We start from the raw sequence: 24484 nt of genomic DNA, 5'->3' as shown, positions 1-24484 counted from the left end.
CAGTCAGCTGCAAATAACGAGGTACTTCCTCCTGCAGAGAAAAGGTAAACTAAAGGAACTTAGCAGACCCCATCGCTACCTTGGGCACCTATAATCCCTCAGCACTGGGGACTCCTGCAGTGTCTCAGGAGCTGAGCCCAGATGAGGGAGCTGCCTGGAGTCCACACAGATGCACTGCCCCTCGAGAAGTTGCCAACACTGTGTCCCACTCCCCGTGGTCTGTGTGGCTACTGTGCTATGCCCTTATTGAACTAGAACTACTGCTGGAGTATTCCTGCTTCAGGGGTGAATATCCATCCCTGAGGCTTTGTCACTGCTATATCACCCCCACCTGGTGGCCCGCCATTCCTGAAACAAGCTGCTTCTACACCTTATCCTGTGGGGGCAAGTTGCTGTGCCCTACCCCTCTTAGTTGCTGCTGCACTCTCCCCTCAGGCAGAAATTAAACAACATGCTCTGGAACAATCAATGAGTTAAAGAAGAATTTTTTTAAAAAAGAAAAATATCTTGAAACCAACAATAGAAATACAACATAACAAAACCTACGAGATGCAGCAAATTAAGTTATAAGAGGAAAGTTGATAGCAATAAATACCCACATTAAAGAAGAAAGATCCCAAATAAATTTCCTAACTTTATCCTCAAGGAACAAGCAAACAAGAGACAAACTTAACTGAAAGTTAGTAAAAGACAAAAAATAAGGTAAGAGCAGATATATATATCAAATAAACCATCTGATCTTCAACAAACCTGACAGAAAGAAGCAATGGGGAGACAATAGATGTTGGCAAGGCTGTGGAGAAATAGGAATGCTTTTACTCTGCTGGTGGGAATGTAAATTAGTTCAACCTTTGTGGAAGACAGTGTGGCAATTCCTTAAGGATCTAGAACCAGAAATACCATTTGACCCAGCAGTCCCATTACTGAGTATATACCCAAAGGACTATAAATCATTCTACTATAAAGACACATGCACACGTATGTTTATTGCAGCACTATTTAAAACAGCAAAGAAATGAAACCAGCCCAAATGCCCATCAATGATAGACTGGGTAAAGAAACTGTGGCACATATACACCATGGAATACTATGCAGCCATAAAAAAGGAAAGAGAGATCATGTCTTTACAGGGACATAGATGAAGCTGGAAGCCATCATCCTCAGCAAACTAACACAGGAACAGAAAACCAAATACCACATGTTCTCACTCATAAGTGGGAGTTGAACATGGAGAACACTTGGAGACAGAGAGGGGAACATCACACACCAGGGCCTGTTTCAGGGTGGGGGATGAGGGGAGGGAACTTAGAGGACAGGTCAATAGGTACAGCAAACCACCATGACACACGTATACCCATGTAACAAACCTGCATGTTCTGCACATGTATCCCATTTTTTTTGTAGAAGAAATAACAAAAAGAAGAAGAAAAACCATAGGAAAAAGCAAAAAAACAAAATTGGTTCTTTGAAAAAGTTAACAAAACTGACAAACCTCTAGCTAGATTGAAAGAAAAAGAGAGAGAGAGAGAAGACTCAAATAGGTAAAATCATAAATGCAAGTGGAGGCATTATTAAATATGCCTCAGAAATAAAAAGAATCATAAGTGACTATTATGAGCAATTATATGGCAACAAATTGGATTACCTAGAGGAAATAAATGAATTCCCAGACAAATATAGCCTACCAAGATTGAATGAGGAAAAAATAGAAGGCTTGGACAGACCAAGAACAAATAGATTGAAGAAGAAATTAAAAACTTTCCAACAAAGAAAAGCCTGGGGCCAGATGGCTTCACGGATCAATTCTACCAAAAATTTAAAGAATTATTAGTGATACTTCTTAAACTCTTCCAAAAAATAAAGGTAGAGGGGATACTTCCAAACACACATTTTAAAAGGCCAGCATCATTATGATACCTAAGCCAGATAAAAACACCATAAGAAACAAAACATATAAGCCAGTATCTCTGATGAACATTGATACAAAAATCCTTAATAAAATATTAGCAAATCAAATTTAACAACACATCAAAAAGATTATACATCATGATCAAGTGGGATTGATTCCTGGCATGAAGGTTGGTTTAACATAAACAAATTAATCACAGTGATAGGTCACATTAACGGACTGAAAGATTGAAACCACAATATCATGGCAAGTGATGCAGGAAAAGCATTTGACAAAGCTATGCATCATTTCTTGATTAAAAAAACTCTTAATGGTTTAGATAGGGAAGGAAAATTTCTCAACATAATAAATGTCATTAACATCATAATTAATGAGAAACAACTGAAAGTTTTCCACTATGATCTAGTACAAGATAGCGATGTCCACTCTCACAACTTCTATTCCTAAGTGTAGAAAACTGCAAAGAGTCCCCAAAAATCTAATAAATGAATAAATGAATAAATGAATTCAGTAAAGTTGCAAGTTACAAAATCAACATAAAAAAATCAAATAGCATTTCTACAAATAAATAATGACCTAGCTGAAAAAGAAATTTTTAAAAATACTGTAAGCAATAGCATCAAAAAAAATACATAGGAATAAATTTAACCAAGGAAGTGAAAGATTTGTACACTAAAAACCATAAAATATTGATGAAAGAAATTGAAAAACACACAAATAAATGGAAGGATATGTCATGTTCATGGATGAAAAGAATTAGCATTATTAAAATGTCTGTACTACCCAATGCAATATACAGATTTAACGCATTCCCTATCAAAATTCCAACGGCCTTCTTCATAGAAAAAATAAAATTCTAAAATTTGTATAGAACCTCAAAGAATCCTGAATAGCCAAATCAATACTGAGACAAAAAAAAATTGGAAGCTAGATATTTCCTGATTTAAATTTATATTACAGAGTTATAATATTCAAAACAGTGTGGTACTAGCATGGAAACAGAAACACATAGATCAGCATATGGAACCCAGAAATAAATCCAAACATATGAAGTCAGCTAATTTTTGATAAGGGCACCAAGAGAACACAATGGGGAAAGAATAGTCTCTTCAATTAATGGCGCTGGGAAAACTGGGTTTCCACACACACACACACACAAAATGAAATTGGACCCTTATCTTACACCATACACAAAAATCAACTCAAAATGGATAAAACACCTAAATGTAAGACCTGAAACCATAACACTTTTAGAAGAAAACAGGGGGAAATCTCCTTGTCATTGGCCTTGGCAATGAGTTTTTGTGCGTCACACCAAAATCCCGGGCTACAAAAGCAAAAATAAATAAATGGAATTGTATTAAACAAAGTGAAGGAAACAAATCAACAAACTGAAAAGGAAACCTATGGATTGAGAAAAAATGTTTGTCAACTATATGTTTGATAACAGATTAATATTATAAAGAACTCTTATAATTAATAGCTGAAAAACAACCCAATTAAAAAAATGGGTCAGAGACCTGAATAGACATTTCTCCAAATAAGACATAAAAATGGCCAACAGGTATATGAAAAGTTGCTCACTGTCACTAATCATCAGGGAAATGCAAATTAAAACCGCTATGAGATATTACCTTACACTCATAAGGACGCCTATTACCAAAAAGACAAGAGATGGCAAATGTTGGTAAGGGTGTCAAGAAAAGGAAAGCCTACTACACTGTTGATAGGAATACAGATTAGTACTGCCATTATGAAAAGCAGAATGGGGATTCTTAAAGAAATTAAAAATAGAATTACCATATGACCCAGCAATTCCCCTTCTGGGTATATAACCAAATAAGATGAAATCACCACTCCATAAAGATATCTGTACTCCCACGTTCAAGGCAGAATTATTCATTATAGCCAAGATATAGAAACAATCTAATTCCTAATTGTCCATCAATACATGAATGGACAGAAAAAATGTTATATGTATACTTGTGTGTGTATGAATATTATTCAGCCTGAAAAAAGTATATCCTGACACTTTTATCCACATGGAAGTACCTGGAGGACCTTATGCTAAGTGAAATAAGCCAGACACAGATGGAAAAATTTGCATAATCTCACGATCTCACTTATATATAGAATCTAAAAAGGAAAAAAGTAAGGTCAAAATACAAAGAGAATAAAACAGTAGTTGCCAGGGACAGGAAGGGCAGGGCAGAGGGAACGGGAAGATGTAGGTCAAAGAATACAAAGTAGTAGATATGTATGATGAATGGGTCTAGAGATCTAATGAACAACATGAGGACCATAGTTAATAAAATTTTATTATATTTGGAATTTTTGTTAAATAAGTAGATTTTAGCTGCTCTTATCACCAAAAAAGTCACTGTGTAGGTTTGTTAACCATAGTAACTATTTTACTATCCGTATGCTTCCCAACATCATGTTGGTAAACCTCAAATATACACAATAAAATGTAATTTTTGAAAACAGAAATCAAATATGCAATAAGAAAATCAACAAAGTTTAAAAAATCAAAATTGATTAAGTGCCATATTTTGAAAAACAGCAATCACTGTTACATTTCACTGGATTTCTTTATGTTTTATATACAATAACCAATTTTAAAAGGCAGTAACTTTGGGGGTGGGAAAATTATTACTGCCCATTTCATTTTTTTGAAAATGATTCTTCACATTAAAAAAAAAATTATTTCTCTTTGTACCTGTTAAAGCCTATCAAAACATCATTACAATCTGGGTTTCTTTCTGTCACTGAATTTTGAAAGTATGTATGCTTTTAAATTTCTTCTCTTGAGGTTGAAGATTGTCAGCTCCTTGAGAGAGGAGATTTTGTCTTATTTGTCTTTGTACCATCTCTGCATCTGCTTGGAAAAGATTAATTTTTCAAGGAATGACTAAACTAGATTATTTCCACTATCCATTAGGTTATTGAAAAACAGTCTATATTGAAGATAAGAAACTGTTTCTTAGAGCTTCTCAGACAAGAAACTTTCTTAGAGAAGAAAAAGCTTTGGAAATAAAAATTAATTTCATTAATTAATGAAAATAATCTTCATTGTTCAAGTTGCGAAAATGGTTGTGTTGCACTTGTCCCCATCATCATGACAAATCATGGCCTTACTCAAAAGTCACTGTTGAATCTTATGATACATAACTATGGAAAGGTGAGGCTTTTTAAAAATTCATCAACTATCTAAAAGTTTTAAAATGATTTGTACATCAATTACAGCACTGTTTTAATTAAAGTTCTGTGTATATTTTTAAAGGAAATTTCTCCTCCCTTATTTTTCTCAACAAAGTTTTTTTTTTTTAATTAAATTTCTTGTCTGTTTTCACAGAAAAGCAGTATATGTTCCTCAATTGAAACAGGAAGTGACGGTTTATTCTTCAAGTTCAAGTTAAATGTTGGGATTTTCCAAAAATCTTAATCTGTTACGGTTGCTGTAATTTATTAAAATCTTTATGGCAAAAATTTCCAGTTGTAAAATATATTTATTTTAAGCTTTACACATCGGAAATGTAATTAACACATTGCCTCCTTGTGAAGGCCTGGCTTCCTCTTTAAGGCAATTTTCCAGCTAGGTTTTTACTGGGAGTCCCCTCATTGTTTGGAACTACACTGCCTCTGCTTCCTTTTTTCCTTCCCTAGCACATATTCTTTAAGTACAGCCTCAGATATGAAATGAAGTGTAAGGCAAAAAATATGTATGCCCTCAGTATTTGATAAAAGTGTCATTTCATATCAAGAAAGAGTGTGATCTACATTTATTTACTCAACGCTTATTTATTGTTACTATTTTTTCTTGACCCAGTGTTTCTTGACCCTCAGGGGACCACACATTGTTCTAGACACTAAGCATAGAGGAGTGAACCTACAAGTCAAGGTTCCTGATCTCTTAGCGTTTATATTTTAATGACAGGAGACATAAAATAAAGAGGTAACCCCAAACAATAAAACATAATTAGCTAATGATAATTGCCACAAATACAATAAAACAAGGTGCTATAATAGAGAAAGATCAGAAGTCTTCTTCGAATACAGTCGTCATAGGAAGCTTTTCTAAGGAGGTAATATTTGAGGAAAAAAACATAGTAATGAAAAGAAACTACCCATGACCAGAGCAAAGCTTTCTTGAGTGAATCAATAATAAATACAAACGCAGTGAGACAGGAAGAAGTTTAGTCTGTTCCAGAAATAAAAATTAACCAGGGTAGCAAGTTTAGAGTTAGTACCAAGGAAGCAGAAAATCAAAAAGGTCGAAGAAGCAGGGATGAGCCAGTCATGTGGGGCATTGTAGGGCATGGTAAGCAGTTCAGATTTAGATTTTATTCCAGATGTGCGGTGCAACCACTAGAAAGCCTTTAAACCAAGAAAATCAGAAGTGGTATTGTTGTCTGGATATTGCTTATAAAAGATTACGCTAGCCACAGGTGGAGAATGGACTGTAGTAGGATAAGAGGGGAGGCATAAAGCCCAGTTCGGAGGTCATTTGTGGTATCCAAGCAAGAGATGATGCTGGCCTGATGTAAGGTGGTAGCCATGGAGATACAACATCAGGACTTGCTCATTTACTGGGCGTGGAAAGAGGGAAAGAAAGAAATCAAGAGTGCTAGTTAAACATTTGATCTGAGCAACCATGGGCCTGCCAGTCACTGTGCTAAGCTTAGTGGTTAAAATAGAGGATAAGACATTATGAATTTATGAAGGTCCTTGCCTTCATAAATTTTATAATCTATAGTTATTTAATAAACATGACTCAGTTAACAAACTAATAACTTAGAAAAATTAAGTTAGATCTAAATTTCATGGTGTATTAACATAATAAAGTCTAGATGGGCTAAAATGTTCAATTTAATAAATAAATAATATCTAAATCTTAGAAAAACTAGAAGAAGCAATATATGTGCATTTTTACATTCTTTAAGGATGGGAAAGCTTTTATAAAACTGATGTAACTGATAAAGAAAAATAATAGATTCGACCATTTACATTTTTAAACTTTTATATGTCAAAAATACCATAGACAAGACTGCAAGGTAAACAAGTCACCTTGAAAATATAGTCACAGCATATATGATGAAGAGTTGATATGTTTAATATATAAAGAGAATTTATAAATCAATAAGAAAAAAGATGAGCAAAGAGTCCAATAAACAATAAAGCAAAAGTGCAAAGTCTAAAGAGCCCAAACTTACAAGTACGATAATATATATATTTAAAATAAGATATGGATTTTTTTATGTTTCAAATTAATAAATGTTTAAAAGAAGTATAATAACCCATGTTAGCTGCCCTGGGAGTATAAAACTGACAAAGATTTTTTAAGCAGGGAAATTCTTCAAAATGCACATTGCCTTACATCTGGTAACTTCAATTTTTGAAATGTATCTAAAAGGTGTAGTCATGCTTGTGTGGAATCATATGTAATCATTCACTGCAGTGTTGTTTATAACAGTATAACTTTATCATAATAATTAAATAAGTAACGGTATTTTCATTTGGTGCAATACAGAGCAGCTAGTTAAAATTACATTGCAGGAAAAAAAGTGACTGATTTATAGTAAATTGTTCATACTACGTTTGATGTGATGAAAGCAGGCTATAAACCAACAAACCAAATGTAATAGCATTTTGATAAACAGCCACAGGGAAAATAAGTCAATAAAGACATTCAACAAATTGTTTATGATGATTATACTTGAGAGATGGAATTATAGGTGCTTTTTGTCCTCTACATTTCTGTGTTTTTCAGATTTTCCACATTGCATATGTGCAATTATATACTTTTTATATTATCAAATAAAAATTACATATTTACAAACAGATAAAACACTAAAAAACGAAGTCACTAAGCCTCTAACTTTACTTTTCTTTAGAAAACCAGTTGGAAAGCAGTCATCAGAGTAAAAGTTTCCACAGCATCTGCCATTTAACAGTTTCTAAGCCTTTTTGGAGTCCTTTTGAAATTGGAGATATTGGCAAAAAACAAAGCCCCCAAATCCAATGCTTGCAGGTAAAAGATGCAAAAGAATGTTGCCCTGATGCTGACAATAAGCAAATGACCCACTTCAAGCACAGACAATGGAGGTGGAGCATGGATTTGAGCAAGATATCCTGGAACCGAGAGCTGTAACTACTCTAGGTCCTGCTAGTCATCATTCAAAGGTCAGTCCATACCAGCAGCCACATACCAGAGAGTTATGGAGCCAACATGATGATCGAATTAATATCTGCAAGTAATACTAAGTCACATCTGTCCTTACATAAGATTGTAAAATCTTTGATTGTGATCCAATAAAACCATTTGCTCAAATAATGATAAATCTGATAGTTCCTGGTCTCCGCACACCACAGATTAAATAGATAAACTGCCTAATATTTTTTCTTTTTTTTTTTTGAATCAGGCTGGAGTGCAGTGGTGCAATCTTGGCTCTCTGCAGCCTCGACTTCCCAGGCTCAAGTGATCCTCCCACCTCAGCCTCCCGAGTAGCTGGGACTATAGGCATGCCCCACAATGCCGGGCTAATTTTTTTTTTTTTTTTTGCAGAGACAGGGTTTTGCCATGTTGTCCAGGCTGGTCTTGAACTCCTGGGCTCAAGTGATCCACCAGCCTTGGTCTCCCAAAGTGCTGAGATTACAGGCGTGAGTCACTGCACCTGGCCTGCCTCACCTTTTGAACATATAGGATCTTACTTAAAGTGCTATGACAAACATGCAACCTGAACATCTAGAGTCATTCTGTTTGTCTGGCGTTTGAACACGAAAGATACTAGAAATTAACTCTGCCTGCTGAACTTTTTGCAGGAATCAGATTGAATTTCTTTTGAGGGCTCTCAGGTTTACACTTGTAAAATAACCTATTATGTTTAAAAATTATGAATAGTTGCTTTACATAGGAAACCAGTAAAATAACAATGATCCTTAAAAATCTGTGTGTGTGTGTGTGTGTGTGTGTGTGTAAATGTACTTCATATTTCCACAGCATCTGTCATTTAACAGTTTCTAAGCCTTTTTGGTGTCCTTTTGAAATTGGAGATATTGGATAAAACAAAGCCCCCAAATCCAATTCAGTAGATAATGACTAAATTATTATTTATCTCCTCTGTTTTGTTTCATTATGTTCATTTTCAAACTTTGATGTCTACCAGTTTCTTCTGTGGAGCTTATAAAAAATATAAATACCCGAAGTGTATGCATGGCCTACTAAATCAGAGTCTCACAGTTGATGGTACCTGGGTTTAGCAGAATACATAGGTGGTCCTGGTGCACCCTGAAGCGCGAAACGCTGCTCTGGGTGAAAAAAAGTGCTAGCAGGGAAATGTGTTAGCAAAATAACAAGGAAAAGAAAGTTAACAAATCTCAAATTGGAAAAGAAAAATCTTAAAAAGAAAGACGTGAATAATGGCGTTCAGTCTTGGTTGGTGTCATTTCTCACAGGCCAATTACCTACAGTCTGGGTGGACTAGAGAATAGAGATTAACATCAGTCAAATCCCGTGGTTAAAGCGTTAACTAGAATGTCCATTCATTTCTCAAGAAGTGTGGCAGAGAGCAAAGGAGTGTACCTATCAGCTGTTCCTAAGAAAGTAAACACTCCCAACATGCACTGAGGCACAGGGAGTGGCTCAGGTTTCTTGACACTTCCCTGCTGTGGCGAAAAGGAGAAATAATTAACAGCTCCTGGGGCTCCAGGATCGCTGATCGCGTCGGGGGCACTGCAAGCGCCCAGCTGAGCCATGCTCTGGGAGGAGACAGGCGCCGCCCCTGCGCCCGCGCGGGCCTCGGACCTCCCCTACAGGTGAGTGACTCGCGGAGTCCCAGCCCGGCAGAGACAGGGCACTGGTTTCCCTCTACCAGAGTTCCTGACCCAGCCGAGAACAAACCGCGAAGCAAGTTCAGCCGAACAACGATGGTGAAAAGGGTCCTCCTGCTCACAGTGTGAATAACAGGTAAAAAATGGGGATGGGGAAAAAAACTTTCTAATCCACTCCCTGGGGTCATGTTGAGGGCAAGTTATTAGAAAGCAGAATCCATAGGCAACAAAGTTAAGTGTGTGTGTGTCATAGCAGCCTGAATCGCACACATGCCTTTTCCTTTTGATTTTCTCAGAATATGCTTTCCTAACCAAGGTAAGCTTGTAGGGTGGGAGGGAGAGAGGGGAAAGAAGGGAGGGAAAGGGTGCAGAGAAGGGCTTGGAGGTAAATGTGACCATAGGACCCCTCCTCCCTTTAGTTCAATGAGCCCTTCACCTGTAATTGTGCCTGGCAAAAATCGTGCCTTACAAAGATACTAGACTTCTGGATGGCATACTCCTTCCTCTGAGTATCCTTATGGTTAGAATATTGTGTTGAATCATCGCACTGGAAAGAACTTAATTGAGGGTTCAGCTCAACTTTTATTTGTTTCTGCAAAGTGACAGAAAGCATGCCCCCCACCAAAAAAAAAATGAATTTTCAATATAAGCGCTCACCAAACAATGAAATAATAAACATAAATAATTAAATGGGAGTGCATGAGTTAAGGATATGAATTCTGAAGCAGAAGAGTGGTAGGTTCAAAGCTCGGCTTTGCCACTTATTAGTTTGCCCCCTCTCAAGTTTCTTAACCTAAGCCCCAAACGTTTGTCTGTAAAACAAGCATCATCAAAGGATCTGCCACATAAGGCTTTCTTTGATGGGAACTGAACAGTCAGCAAGTGTTCTGTAAGTGATACCTACTGTTAGCATTAAGAATAAGCTGCTCTGCCAAAGGGGCCGTTATCAGGGAGGGCAAGCTGAACTAGGGAGACCAGACAGTGTGTATTAGGATGCTGGAATTGAACTGGTTCCCGGAGACTGGATCCAGGACAGGCAAGCAGGTGACAGGTGTGCTAGGATCATCTCTCTGGGTAGCAACGAAATGACCTGGCTTCTTTCCATTTTTCAGATAGAGTATGTGGTGGCAAATTCAGACATATTTGCTACTCAATCAGTTTTCTTTTGAAAAATTCACATTTACATTAATCTGTTATTCCTAAAAAGAAAATAGAATTTTAGAGTAAGAGAGTTACACACAATCTCATATTGTGGAATTCATGCCATTTGGGTTTTATAAAGGAGACTGCTTTTGAATAACTTTCATCAATTTAGACCATATAATCCATGTCTTTATATTTCAGCACATATTGAATTGTTTGTATTGAAGTGCTGTTTTTAATTTGTGTTGATGGACAAGAGACATGAAGGAATAATACTTGTATTTTGTCAGTCTCTACCTCTTAAGCTTAAATTACAGGAAAGTGGCTTTATTTTATGAAGTTTCACTTAAAGGGCACTTTTGTCAATGTTGTTAGTTATTAATGTTGCTAATTTTCTTGAGGGGACCAACTTAGTGTCTATGACTAGTAATTTCCATTGACTTCATTTTTATCTTGTTATTTTATTAAATAAAGCAGTCAAAGAGTTTGCAGTATACTCTAACTTAATATCATTGGTGTTTTAATGGATTCTTTTTTCAAATTGCAGAGTTGAAATTCTTCAGTGTGCTTACAATTAGATATTGACTGGAGAATTGTGGATAGAATTCTAAACCCAACCTAACTGAAGTTTACTATGTTATTTCCCTCTGGGGTCTGATTGTGTTTAGTACAGTTTAGCTAAAAACTTATAAAGGAATCAAATTGAATTAGAATAAGTTAGGGTTCCAATATTCATTAAAGATTTTTCAAAGAGGAAATATGCTTTTATGCTGAATTTCCATATTGTTATACATCCTTAAACAAAGTTATTTGCCTTTATATTTATTGATAGACATATGTCTAAATAAAGAATAGTAGCCCCAATTGAGATAAATTTATTTAACCATATTTGAAATTGATTTGAGATTAATCTACTTAACCGTAACTGGGTGGAAGTCTTTCTAGTTAAAATCTGTTTAGATAGATAGATAGATAGATAACAACTTTATATCTATACATTAGAATATTGTGTTGAATTTACATTTATTCTACTATTTCTCACGTGTATAACATTTTATTATAAACTATTAAATGTTGTGGTCAATCAGAGAGAGAGAGAAAGAGAGAAAAGAGTGACACAGAGAGACCCAGCAATGATTACGAAAAAATTAACTTTTCCAGTTATATTCAAAATAGTGTAACATGTATGTAACAAGTCTTTTAAGCATGTAATTAAAAGTTCTATACCTGATTCTTGTTTTAATTTCCTAAAATAAGAAGGATCCTTTACTTTTAACTGAGATAGAAACCCAATGCTGACAGTCCATTTGCTTATATAGATTCATTGATTGCAATGTAGGTGGGGAATTCACGGTTACTAGAGTTACATGGGCTTCATATAAAAGCTTAGATTTTTAAAATATTCAAGTATAGGCCATTTGAAAACAAAACCTCTGAGAAAGGAATTCTGAATATTTTCCTTTCACATTACAGTTAGAGAGTTATTCTGTTGCAAAAATTAATTTGTATGTTTAAAATGATAAATTATAGTGATTTCATCACTTTCATAACATAATCTCAACAACCAAACTTAACTAATACCACTGCTTTCAGGAGTAGAACATGAAGTGTCTCCTATTTAAGTAATAAGGATGTTAACTTAAAGGAAAACTTCATCATCACCTAGAGCCTAGTAAAGGAGCTTAAGAGGAGAGAGTGTCGATTCTTTTGCAGCAAATATACAAACAGGAAAAATGAGTCGTGATCTTTGTGACGTCAGCCTAAGAATTTCTACTGGGAAGCTCAGGTGAAGCAGAAAATTTTTGAGTTCCACCACACCAGTAATTCCAGAAGATGCTGTCGGCAGACTGAGCAGCGCCTCCCAGACCCAGTGGTGGCAAGATGCCTTAAGTGCCTTAATACAAATTTGCTTCTCTGACCGTTTCTGCTTTCTTTATCTCCCTGAGGGCACCTTGAGCAGAATAAAATGCATGGCATTAGTACCATGTAAATATGCAATAGAACAGTAAAGTTTTGGCATTTCCAATTAGATTCCACTTGAACTGAGGGCAGTGGCATGCTCACATAGAAGTGTGTTTGATTCATATTCTGCTTAGTCCTCTCTTAGATTCAATGATTATAATACATTATTTCTATCTCAAAACCAACAATCACTGACTGCAACCAATATTACTTAATTAAGTGATAGTTTGTATATATGCCAACTCTTGACCTTTACTGTCTCTGCAAATAAAGCACATTTTAAGAAAAAGTATGGAGCCAAATGTTTCCCAGAAACCATCACTCTGTTAACTCTTTTCCTTTTTTGAGAGAACTAGATACTGGATGGAATTATAGATGCTTTGTCTCATTTTCTTGAAGTGATGTAATTGCATATAACTCTGCTCTTCTCTACTCCAAGGTTCCAGGTCATAACTTTGAGAAAACAGTTTCGTTTTGGAGATGAATACATAATTGTAACTTTCTATTGCTTCTTCAAGCTGAAACAATATTTTATTAAAAAGACTCTCCGTGTGTACAGCCCTTAACATACTCTTATCTCATAATTGAAATACACACTTGCTATTCTAGTGTGATACTTTCTGTTCTTTTTTTAAGTAGCTTTTACTGGGGACGTGGGTGAGAGAGATGTAACATATATTCCTTGTCTATGATTTAGACAGTACATACAAAATAAAAAAAGAAATAATTATCACACATAATCTCTTAGCTCTTAATTTTACCATTAATATTATAATATACCTCTCTGTATGTTGGATGTATTCAATATTTTGTGTATGTTTTATCTATATGCCTGCATATATTCACTCACTTTAGAAGACACAAAAATGAAATAGCAATAATTCTGTCCTAAAGGACCTAGTAATCAAATTAAGTAAAATAAAATATGGTTAGAGAGAGAAAGCAGTAAGTAATTAGAAAGCTACAGAAAATTTCCTGTGAAATTTCAGAAGCAAGAGAAATTGTCTTTGGCTGGGAAATACAGGGAAGTTAGCACCTGTATATATATGTATAGATAGATAGATAGATAGATAGATAGATAGATAGATAGATAGATATAGATATATGTATATATATTAGTTCTTTGTAAAATCATTAGCATTATGACACTTTGTGCACCTTGTGGCCTCAGAAATAAGAGGCTATAGATATAGATACAGGCTATACTTTCTGTGCCTAGCACGGTAGCAGGTGCAGAGAAGGAACTCGTGAAATATTTGTTGAATTTACAAACGAGTGAACCCAATTTTCCACTTTTAGATATGTAACCATTTAATTAACTCATGGTTGGATAACAGGAAGTTACTTTAAATGACTGACCCATTTGATTTAATTTGTACTAGAATTCACTTCCTGTCCTCTGGCCTCATTCTGGTCACAAGGCAACTGGTAAGTCCAGGCAAGCCCACCTCTAGGCAGGAATGCAGAGCAGGGGGAGGTGAACCACGTTCCAGCATTGCTGGAACGCTAATGCTGCCCAACACTGCCTCCTCAGGCTCCATCCAGATCTCATTGGCTTGTTCAGACCAATTCTACCTCTCCTATACTTCTAGTGCTGTTGATTTCTCCAGGACTTAATTGCTGACCTATCTAATTCCCTGTTTCTCCAGCTTCATTGTTTCTGGACAAAATGAAAAAGTAAATAACCAAACTTATTAAATAATGATCTTATTTTACACACAATCTAAGTCAATAATCTCTGGCCCCAGGGCCTACATAGATTTGTAACAACCATCTTCCTCCTCAAGTTGTAGTTTATTATGTTCTACCAAAATTACTGAACATCCCAAGTAAGACCTCCAGGCTTCTAGAACTGTAATTTTTTCTTTCTTCATAAATTCTCTCCCTCGTTGCTATTCATGACTTCTCTGTTATTCTCCTCTTAAGTCCTTGAGAAAATTTGCTCAGATGCTTATATCTACCAAGTCTTTATAATTTAGGAGATTTTCACAAGGGCCCTAGCAGGTTTTAGTTTGCTATGAATCATGGTGAATGGGAATGGGAAGATGAGGATGAAAAACTATTTGAATTCATAGATCTATGCCTCACTTCATTGTTTTTGTTTGTTTATTTGTTTTGCTCTTTTTTTTTTTTTTTTTTTGAGACAGAGTCACACTCTATCACCCAGGCTGGAGTGCAGGGACACAATCTTGGCTCACTGCAACCTCCATCTCCCAGGTTTAAGTGATTCTCGGGCCTCAGCCTCCCAGGTAGCTGGGATTAAAAGTGTGTTCCACCACACCCGGCTAACTTTTGTATTTCACTTCACTGTTAATACTAACAATGGGACTTTTACCAAAGCATGTTCTTACCTTTCAGGTATTTAAACTGTTTGAATATTTTATTTACCCAATTTTTAGATCAGACATGAATAATATTATTTCCTACTCAAATATTATGTGCTGCCTATGAATGAAAATTTTATCCTGTTTTTATTTTCTTACATTAAATTATATTCAACTTTCTTCCTTCCTAAAGTCAGAAAATAATATAAGAGCCTTGGAAACCCTTTCATCACATCTTCTGAAGTCTTCTGAAGCTGGCTATGAGTTACCTCAGCATAGATCAACAGTGTGTCACTATAACTACATTGCAATTATTTGCCCTCTTTAATGATATCTTTGATATTTCTTATGAATGCAAATAAAGAGTGAGCCAGTTGGAAAGCTACTGCAATGATTTTTCAGTCCATCACTGCCAATTTTCACTTTGTAATTATAAGAAGCTGCTATCAGTGGTTCTTCAGTTCCAAATATCCCCAGTGTCTGGTGAGGGAAGCAAGCTGTCTGGTTCTTAGATGGTCTTTTTGCTATGCTCTGACATGGTGGAAGGGTCCAGGCAGCTTCTGGGGTCTCTTTTATAAGGGCACTAACCACATTCATGAAGTCTCCACCATCATGAACTAATCACCTCCTAAAGTCCTCACCTGTTAATACTATTGCATTGGGGGTTAAGTTTCAACATCTAGGTTTTGTGGGGACACAAACATTCAGACCACAACAGAGGGAGGCCCTCTAGTAGGCTGACGCAATAATCCAGGAAAAAGATGATGGTGGCTTGGCTTAGGGTAGTAGCAGTGGAAATCAAAGCTTTCGAATTTGGAATATGTTAGTGGTACAGTGAATAGGACTTACTTTTGGATTGAATTTGGCTTATGATGAAAGAGGGAAAAAATGAGACTAAATATTAGTTTTGATGCCTAGATGGGAAAGAATTGTGGAGGAGGAAATTTTAGAGCATGGGAGAAAGTCAGTGGTTCTTTTTCAGCCATGTAGATATCGAGATGCCTGGTACACATCTAAGTAGAGATTAGGTAGGTGGTGACATGCGTCTGGAGCTCAACAGAGATTATGGGATGGAGACAGATTCGATTACCTGGAAGAATGTATAGATAGAGAAGAAAGGATGGCTGAGAATGGACACTCAAACAAGCCAGTATTTAGTGATCATACAAAGGAGGAATCAGCAAAGGAGACTAGTGTTGAGGCCTGTGAGATAGCAGGAAAATAGAGTGAGGTGATTGTTATTCATGGTTTGTCTCAAAAGCATCAAGAAGAAAGTGTTTTAAAAGGTAGGAAAATCAATCTTGTCAAATGTTGCTAAGAGGCCGAGAAATGAGGAGAGAAGTGAACTCTTTGGCAAGGTATAGGCTCTTGGAACATGGATGGAGAGGTGGAGGTAGGGCTAAATTAAAGGAATATATGATAAATAATCTGGACCCAGGAGGAAGAAGGAAGTGTTTGGACCCCAGGGTCATCACTGGGGGATTTCAGTCGGGGACATTAATAACCCTTTTGGTGGGTTATTAGAATGACAAAATCCAGGGGCAAAACTCAAGTTTGAGAAGCTGGAGGAACCTGTGTAACCTGTATAACCAAGTTGCCCAGACCAAATCCTGTGAATAAGTAACTGGGATTCACTGGGCTCATGGAGCATGTTGTGTCTGTGTGCCCAAGGCAGCATAAAATGCCCATGTGGCTTCTGACGTATAGAATTACTTTGCCTGGTGACTAAGCTTCTGTGTCTCTGGTATGAGTCCTCCAGGTGTCCTGCATGAGACCTGCCAATGATGTGCTATCAGAGGATGCCATTTCCAACTAGAGAAGCACAATTCTTTGAGCAAGAAGATAGCAATAGAAAAGAAAGTAAGGTATAAATCAATAATGACAATACAAGGTAGAAAGCAGAATGATGACAACAGTGTGGATTCAAAGGACATGGGGAGACTTTAAGATTTCCCACTGGGGACTAAAAGGGACCAGATATCTGGACCTGCAGTGAGGAGGGCCCTCTGCTGCCAGGGGAAATGGGTGAGAAAAGACTCAATGACATGAAATTTCATTAGATTACAAGGCCTGGTGTTGAAGAAATGTTTCAATTTGGAGCCTGGAAAGGTAGGTTTGAGTGGAATTGAAGAAAACTTGAGAGTCAGGTTAAGGGACTTGGGCTGTATTTATTAAGAAAGATACCAAGATGGTTTGTGACCAAATAGGTGATGGGATGATCGGAATGATAAAAGCCTAAAATGAGACTCCAGCCAAGCATTCACCCTGAAAACTGTAACAAAGTACCTAGTGAGTTTAACAACATGCTATAAAGAAAAATATGCATCAGAGATTTTATGAGAATAGAAGAATAGCTTTCCTGTTTTCTTTTTTTCCTGGTACTCTGAAGAGTTAGGACATATAATTTCCTAATTTTTATTCATCTTACCCAACCCAAATAACCAGATTTGAAAGGAAAAGGAGGAAATCCACCCCCTTATACACAACGTTTTTTTTTTTAAAAAAAAAAAAAAAAGAAAACTGAACTCTCTCATCCATCTTTTTTATTCTGGCTCTATCCCCTAAAATCTTATAGACTTGGAGCCATGATAACTGAATATTCAATTTTTGCAAAATGGAATGAACAGAAAATATTATACTTTACATCTCTGGTCACACCCTAATGCCATTTATATGAACATATAAAGGAGGAGATTATTCACATCTGACCACAGTTTCCAGAGCTTGAAGGAGACTTGAAAAATATTACATCATACCTAATCAACTCTTCAAGTCAGAGCTTGATTTTAGCTGCCTAGAATTGCAGTTGTCTTCTGCTGATTGGGGCAAGGTTCAGCCAGTTTGGGTGAGTTATTGCAATAGAAGGAATATGCTCCCTTATACAGAATTATATAAATCAATAGAGTCATATTTATTTTGCTAGAAATATATCTAAAACAGACTTACCAAATTGTTCAATCCATCCGTGTCTGGAGTTACTGTTTCTGTAGTTTTTCATTTACATAATACATTTTTCTGTATTTTTGCTCACACATGACATACTACTTAAAAACTTTCTAAAACCTTCTTATACTCTAGAGACACAACAAAACACTCAACTTAAATCAGAAACTAATTTTTTAATGCATTATAGGAACAAATCATTAATATTATTCTCATGTTTAGGATATCCTCAGACCATCTCAAAAAGGAGGAAAAGATGACTATGATGGCTCACCAGTACCCCTCTTGGATCTTCATTAATGAGAAGACATTCATAACCAGGTAACCACACACCTTATATTATACATTGTCCTACTCACCAGTCATTTGTGGAATATACCGTCAAAGTTTTCTAAGCATGATGTATGGTCAACAAGATCAATAATATGAATCATCAGTAGAGATACTAGATAAGAAGTTGGAAAAGTATGTTCCTAAAGACTCTCAAATTTACTCTCATGGAACAATCACTAATATTTTGTTTAACAGTGGTTTTACTTTATTAAAAGCAACATTTCTGTTTTAATAGTTGGGATAATATTGAAGAGCAGCATTAGGTGAAAGATCTAAGGCTTCTCATAAATGATAGTTCTAAAGAATTAACCCCAGGGCCAAAAACATTATGTCCTGTCCTAACCTCTCCATCCCTTGCTCCTCATGACACTTTATTTTTACTGGTTCCCTCTTGACATTAGATTATGCAATATATGGCCAACATCCACAGCTTTTCTTGTACGCAGCAAACAGTATCTCATATTGCTTTGGGAACAATAGAGTAAGGGCTTAAAAGCTATAAGAGTAGAGATGAAAACTGAAACTGGCCAAGCTACAGCAGAGGCTGGGGGCTGAGAGGAGATGAAATCATGAAAAAATAAGTGGTACTGAAACATGACCCAAATCTTATGGGGGGTGGAAAAAGGAAAAAAGCCAAATAAATGACAGAGAGAAGGAGAAGTGAATGATGCAGGGTTGGGCAGTAGGAAAGTGAAGGAAACAAATATGATCAAATATGGAAATAAAGCCACAGCTGAAAGATAAGGATGAACTATAAGCAGTGGGAAAAAGACCTGATGCAAAGGATAAAGGATCCACTGACTTATTCCTCAAACACTTACTGATTACTCACTGTGAGCAGGTGTATTTTTGGACCCTGAGCATTCAGTAATGAACCAAACAAAACCCTTACTCTCATGGAGTTACATCATAAAGTCGGGATGCAGTCAATACATAAGATAAATGCTGAGGAAATGGAGTAAAGAGTGCTAGAGATAGAGAGCGGAAAGGGTTCTGATTGCATATAACCTAGTTCCTTCCTCAGTGAGCGGGAAGCACTGGAGGAAAAGCCTGCAGAAAGGGAGAAAGCAAGCCATGCAGCTTTCGCAGGTATTCCAGGCAAGGGGAATGGCAACTCCACAGCCCTAAGGCAGATGCATATTTGTAAGGGTCAGGGAGAACAGTGTGGGGAAATGGAAGTAGAAAGACAGCAGGAGAAGAAGCCAAATGGGCTCAGAACATGTAGGGTTTGATAGGCCATTATGAGGCTTGATCTTTCCCACTAAATAAGATGAGAAGCTGTGGAAGGATATTGAGCACATGAGTGGCAATATCAGTCTAGCTGCTGTGTTAAGAACAGAGTAGAGAGGGGACAAGAGTGGAAACAGAGAAGTTACCAAGGAGCTGACAGTCCAGGGTGGAGATGAAGGTTGCTTGAACCAAGGTGGCAGCAGTAGAGGTAGAAAACAATGGTCAGATTCTGGATATAGTTTGAAGACCAACACAATAGGATTTCCAGAAGGGTTAGACATGGGTGTGAGAGAAAGAGAATAACCAAGGATAATTCTAAAAATTTTGATCTAGAAAAATGGAGTTAACATTTTCTGAAATCATGAGGAGAAGCAGGAGCTACAGGAGGAGCAGGTTTGCAGTTGAGGATCCGGAATTCAGTTCTGGACACATTACATTTGAGATTGAATAAGAAGCATTTCTTAAAAATGAGGTCCATGGACCACCTGCTTCTGACTCAGATGCCTGTTCACAGTATAGACCCTTGGCTTCACCCCAGAACTAATCATGTGATTCTGATGCATACTGAAGTACTGAGAACAAATTCTCACCATAGGAAAGGATTAAAGTTCTGAGAACTTCTGACCTCCTAACATAAACAAAATTCCTGGAGCTAGGGGAAATCTCTGCCAGGCTGTCACCAGAAATTATAACAATGCCACTGACCAACTATGATATCCAGCATACCACAAATCTGGCAAACACCCCTACTCATTTATTCACTTGGCAAGTAGTTTTTTAGCTCCCTCTCTTTACTAGGCATTGTTGTGGTAAACAAGACAAAAATTAGCAATTTATTGAGGTATTTTTATTTTCCTGCACAGAACTACATGAAAAGAATGGAAATTAATAGTTAAGCAGAATCTTCATAATCAAAATTTTGGTTTCAGCAAATTTCATGAGGATTGCATATGATCAGTAAAATAAGAGGTCCTGATATTAATAATAGCATAGTAGGAAACATAACGTTTATATCCCACTACTGGATGAGAATTCTCTGAGTTTAGAAACTTCCCTGTTCAAAGGGTATTGGCACAGGTTAGCTTTGTACTGAAATGACTAAGCTTCCAGTTGCTGTTTTATTGCCTGGAGTCATCATTGCACACTGCTTCACACAGTGAGCTGGGTGGAAAAAAATAAAAATAAATGTTTTTTATGGTTACTTTCAAAGTATTTTCACTTTAGGTCATAGGCTGAAATCTGGGCACTTTAGAGGTGAATAAATGCTAACCATGTATTTAAAAAAAAATTAATGGAGAAGTTTAAATCCAGTTTTAGAATACCAACCAGATTTCACTCTCAGAACCTATCAGACTTTTTCTGCTACTTAGTAACCTAATAAAAACTTTGCAGTCTATGCCTCTTCTAAGGGCAGCTCAAAAGGCACGTGTACAATCCTGTCCTTAGTAAGTTTAATTAACATGATGTAATAAATTTTAGCAGAAAGTGCATTATTCCAAACAGTTTCTTTTTCCAAGCATGTTGGCCAGCAACCTTTGTTGAAACAAAGGAACCAGCCACCTGCACTTCTAAGCACAAATTAAGCACAAAGAGCCAGTGTTCCAGAGGCTGCCTTCTACCTGGCCAGTACAGCCAGAAGGCAATGTTTGCCCAGGTTTCATATACAGGGTCTTCTCCTGATCAAAGGAATAGGAGCAAACACTGCATGCCCCTGTGAGTCCTGAAGGTAAGTTTCTAAGAGGAGGGCATCATTCTCCTGAAGAACGCTGAATACCTGTCTTTAATTAAAGTATAAGAGAGCCTGTTCTGACTTATTTGTATAAAAAGTTAGAATTTCAAAATAAGCCAGAGACAGAGGATTTTAATCGCATATTTAGGAGCATCTACTTTAAAAATTAGAATTTTTGTCCACATGGGGATTGTTTTTAAAAATTCACATTATCCATGTTTGATGACCCAGTGAAATGAAAAGAAATTATTATGAGAAACTGGGTATCACATCTGTTATTTTGTCACAAAAGGGTCAATAACGTCATCATGAGATATGTGAAAGAAGGACATTTATTAGGTTTTTTTATATCTGATATTTTTCAATAAGCATATATTGTCAACAGTCATTGAGCATATCAATATGACTTAATAATCTGTTATTCCTAGTAAAATTTATCTACTTTGCAGTTACCTGTTTTATCAATTAAGGAGGTTTAAAAACGATGAGATCATTTGTCTGCCCAAGATAATCTAAAAATGTTCTCAGAGAAAATCCAATGATTTTCTATGAGACTCCAGAAGTTCAGACTCCAGAAATATATCACATGTATGGAATTTATTTCAATTTCTGGATGCGTGAATTTTCTATGCTGTATTCCCTACACAAATAACTTTTGAGAGCATACCATAAGCAAGGAGGAGGAGGAAGAGGGGAGAGGAAGGGGGAGAGGAGAGGGGAGGGGAGGGGAGGGGATGGAGGAGAGGAGAGGAGAGGAGAGAAGGGGAGAGGAAGAAGAGTAGAGAGGAGGGGAGGGGAGGGGATGGAGGAGAGGAGAGGAGAGGAGAGAAGGGGAGAGGAAGAAGAGTAGAGAGGAGGGGAGGGGAGGGGTTGGAGGAGAGGAGAGCAGAGGAAGAAGAGTAGAGAGGAGGGGTAGGGAGGGGAGAGGAGAGGAGAGGAGAGGAGGTAGCTGTCCTACTCTTGTGGAGCTTGCAATCTGAAGCTGTAGCTCAAACCTGAGCCTTTAGCAGAACCACCTGGAGGGTTCTTTAAAAGAAAGATTGCTAGGCTCCATCCCCAGAGTTTCTGATTCAGGAGTTCTAGGGTGTTTTGAATATTTGCATGTCTAAGTTCCCAGGTGGTACAGATGCTGCTGGTCTGGGGATCACACTTTGAGATCCACATAGATCTAAAGGCCTGAAACAAACTGACATGTATTCTGAGGGAAGGAACCCAGTTCTATGAAAGAACAAAGCCCTAGTTTAAACAAGAGTTCCAAGAAGGCTTCCCTAGAAACAATGTTTGTACAGAGATCTGACTAAGAAGGAGCTATCAAAGTTCAGGACAGTGGGTGGAAGAGTGTTTCTGACACAGGAAATCTGCCAGAAATCCTTACAGCCATGGAGCAAAGAGTTCCAACAAGTGAAAGGTGCCCAGGGTGCTGGGGTGCAGGACACAGGGAAAATGTCTCTTGAAAGGAGGCTGAAGAGGAAGGCAGGAGAGAGACCAAACAGGACTTAACCTGCCATAACGGTGTGGGGGTTTTATCCCAAGAGCAATGGAAAGACATTTAAGACATTTAAAGATGTTAACAAAGCAGATGATATGATTAGATACATTCTACATACTCTGGATTTAGTGTGGAGAATGTCTGGAGGATCCTCTGAATAGCAGCAAGGAGTTTGCTTATTATTTTTTTGTTGAATGTAAAGATAACCAGTGGTGAAAGTCATGGCAGCATTACTGAAGAACAAAGTCAGAGCCAGTGAGTGTAAGAGCCTGTGTGTCAGGAAGTCTCCCGTTTTCAGGCTCGTGCTCAGGTTGATGGCCCTGGGAATCACTGGCTCCTTGTTGTGTTTCAGACCCTCTAGTAACAATCCCAAATGTCCAGGGGGCTGAAAGGCATATCGCTACAATAAATGAAAGACTTCATTAAATAGGATAGTTTCTCCCTCCCAAGGGAGCAAGGGGCATCAGAGTGTGAAGTCAAGTTACTCATTCTCAATAAGCACAGAAGTCCCTATCTGTTCATACACAAAGGGTGTAATTTTACAGCAAGTTTCCATCTGCTCCCATAATGCTTACTGTTGTGTGGCACACCTGTGTTTACTTTTCAACTGGCTTTAAAAAAAAAAAAAAAACTATAAGGCTTGTCTCAGAAAAACAGGAAATGAAAGGCTAAACCACAGACAAATGAGAAGCAAGACCCAAATATGAGCTAAGTACCAGCCTAATTGCTCCATTCCCTTGTCTCTATTTTGCATGATGCTGAGGTTTGGAGTACGGATGAACCCATCATCCCAGTAGTCGGCATAGTATCCAATAGATAGCTCTTCAGCCCTTGCCGCTTTCCCTCTCTCTTGCATCTAGTGGTCCCCAGTGCTCATTGTTCCCATCTTTGTGTCCATGTGTACCCGGTGTTAAACTCTCACTTATAAGTGAGAATATACAATATTTGATTTTCTGTTTCTCTATTAGTTCACTTAGGATAATAGCCTCCGGCTGCATCCATATTGCTGCAAAGGACATGATTTTGCTCTTTTTTATGGCTACAGAGTATTCCATGGTGTCTATGTACCACATTGTTTTTATCCAATCCAGCACAGATGGGCACCTGGGTGGATTCCATGTCTTTGCTATTGTGAATAGTGTTGTGATAAACACAGGGGTGTGTATGTCTTTTTGGTAGAATGTTTTATTTTCCTTTGGGTCTATATCCAGTAAAGGGATTGTTGGGTTGAAAGGTAGTTCAACTTTTAGATTTTTGAAAAATCTCCAAACTGCTTTCCACAGTGACTAGACTAATTTACATTCCCACCAACAGTGTATAAGTGACCAAAAGACATGGGCAGACACTTCTCAAAAGAAGACATACAAGCAGCCAACAAACATGAAAAAATGCTCATCATCACTAATCAGAGAAATGCAAGTCAAAACCACAGTGAGACACCATCTCACACCAGACAGAATGGCTTTTATAAAAAAGTCAAAAAATAACATATGTTGGCGAGGCTGCAGAAAAAAGGGAAAAATCCTCAGGTATTTGAAGTTGGAAGAGTGAGACAGAATTCAGAGCTTTCTGATCATTCAGGGTTTGCATTT

General features: G+C 37.2%; 1 protein-coding gene across 13 annotated transcripts in view, besides 3 other annotated features; it reads left to right on the top strand.

Moving 5' to 3' along the window:
* Positions 9155–9703: an enhancer, noted in NCBI's record as "NANOG-H3K4me1 hESC enhancer chr4:74486177-74486725 (GRCh37/hg19 assembly coordinates)". NCBI's record gives its function as "activates a minimal SCP1, AML or CMV promoter by ChIP-STARR-seq in naive H9 embryonic stem cells {active_cell/tissue: H9 hESC(naive)}" and the evidence as "EXISTENCE:reporter gene assay evidence [ECO:0000049][PMID:30033119]".
* The window catches only part of RASSF6 (Ras association domain family member 6), a 49082-nt gene continuing 34129 nt past the window's right edge, over positions 9532–24484 (top strand). For 4 of the 13 annotated variants that reach the window (XM_011531689.4, NM_201431.2, XM_011531687.3 and 1 more), the window contains 2 exon segments: positions 9532–9724; positions 18334–18432. In XM_011531689.4, coding sequence (XP_011529991.1) covers positions 9663–9724; positions 18334–18432 — 161 coding nt within the window. In that variant the 5' untranslated portion in view covers positions 9532–9662. 13 annotated transcript variants of the gene reach the window in all.
* Positions 9704–10253: an enhancer, noted in NCBI's record as "NANOG-H3K4me1 hESC enhancer chr4:74485627-74486176 (GRCh37/hg19 assembly coordinates)". NCBI's record gives its function as "activates a minimal SCP1, AML or CMV promoter by ChIP-STARR-seq in naive H9 embryonic stem cells {active_cell/tissue: H9 hESC(naive)}" and the evidence as "EXISTENCE:reporter gene assay evidence [ECO:0000049][PMID:30033119]".
* Positions 23482–23531: an enhancer, noted in NCBI's record as "active region_21613". NCBI's record gives its function as "activates an Ori minimal core promoter by ATAC-STARR-seq in GM12878 lymphoblastoid cells {active_cell/tissue: GM12878}" and the evidence as "EXISTENCE:reporter gene assay evidence [ECO:0000049][PMID:35858748]".

The sequence above is a fragment of the Homo sapiens genome, chromosome 4 (assembly GCF_000001405.40).
Source record: "Homo sapiens chromosome 4, GRCh38.p14 Primary Assembly".
Taxonomy (NCBI): domain Eukaryota; kingdom Metazoa; phylum Chordata; class Mammalia; order Primates; family Hominidae; genus Homo; species Homo sapiens.
The sequence above is the reverse complement of the archived record's forward strand: the minus strand, read 5'-3'. Positions and strand labels throughout refer to the sequence as shown.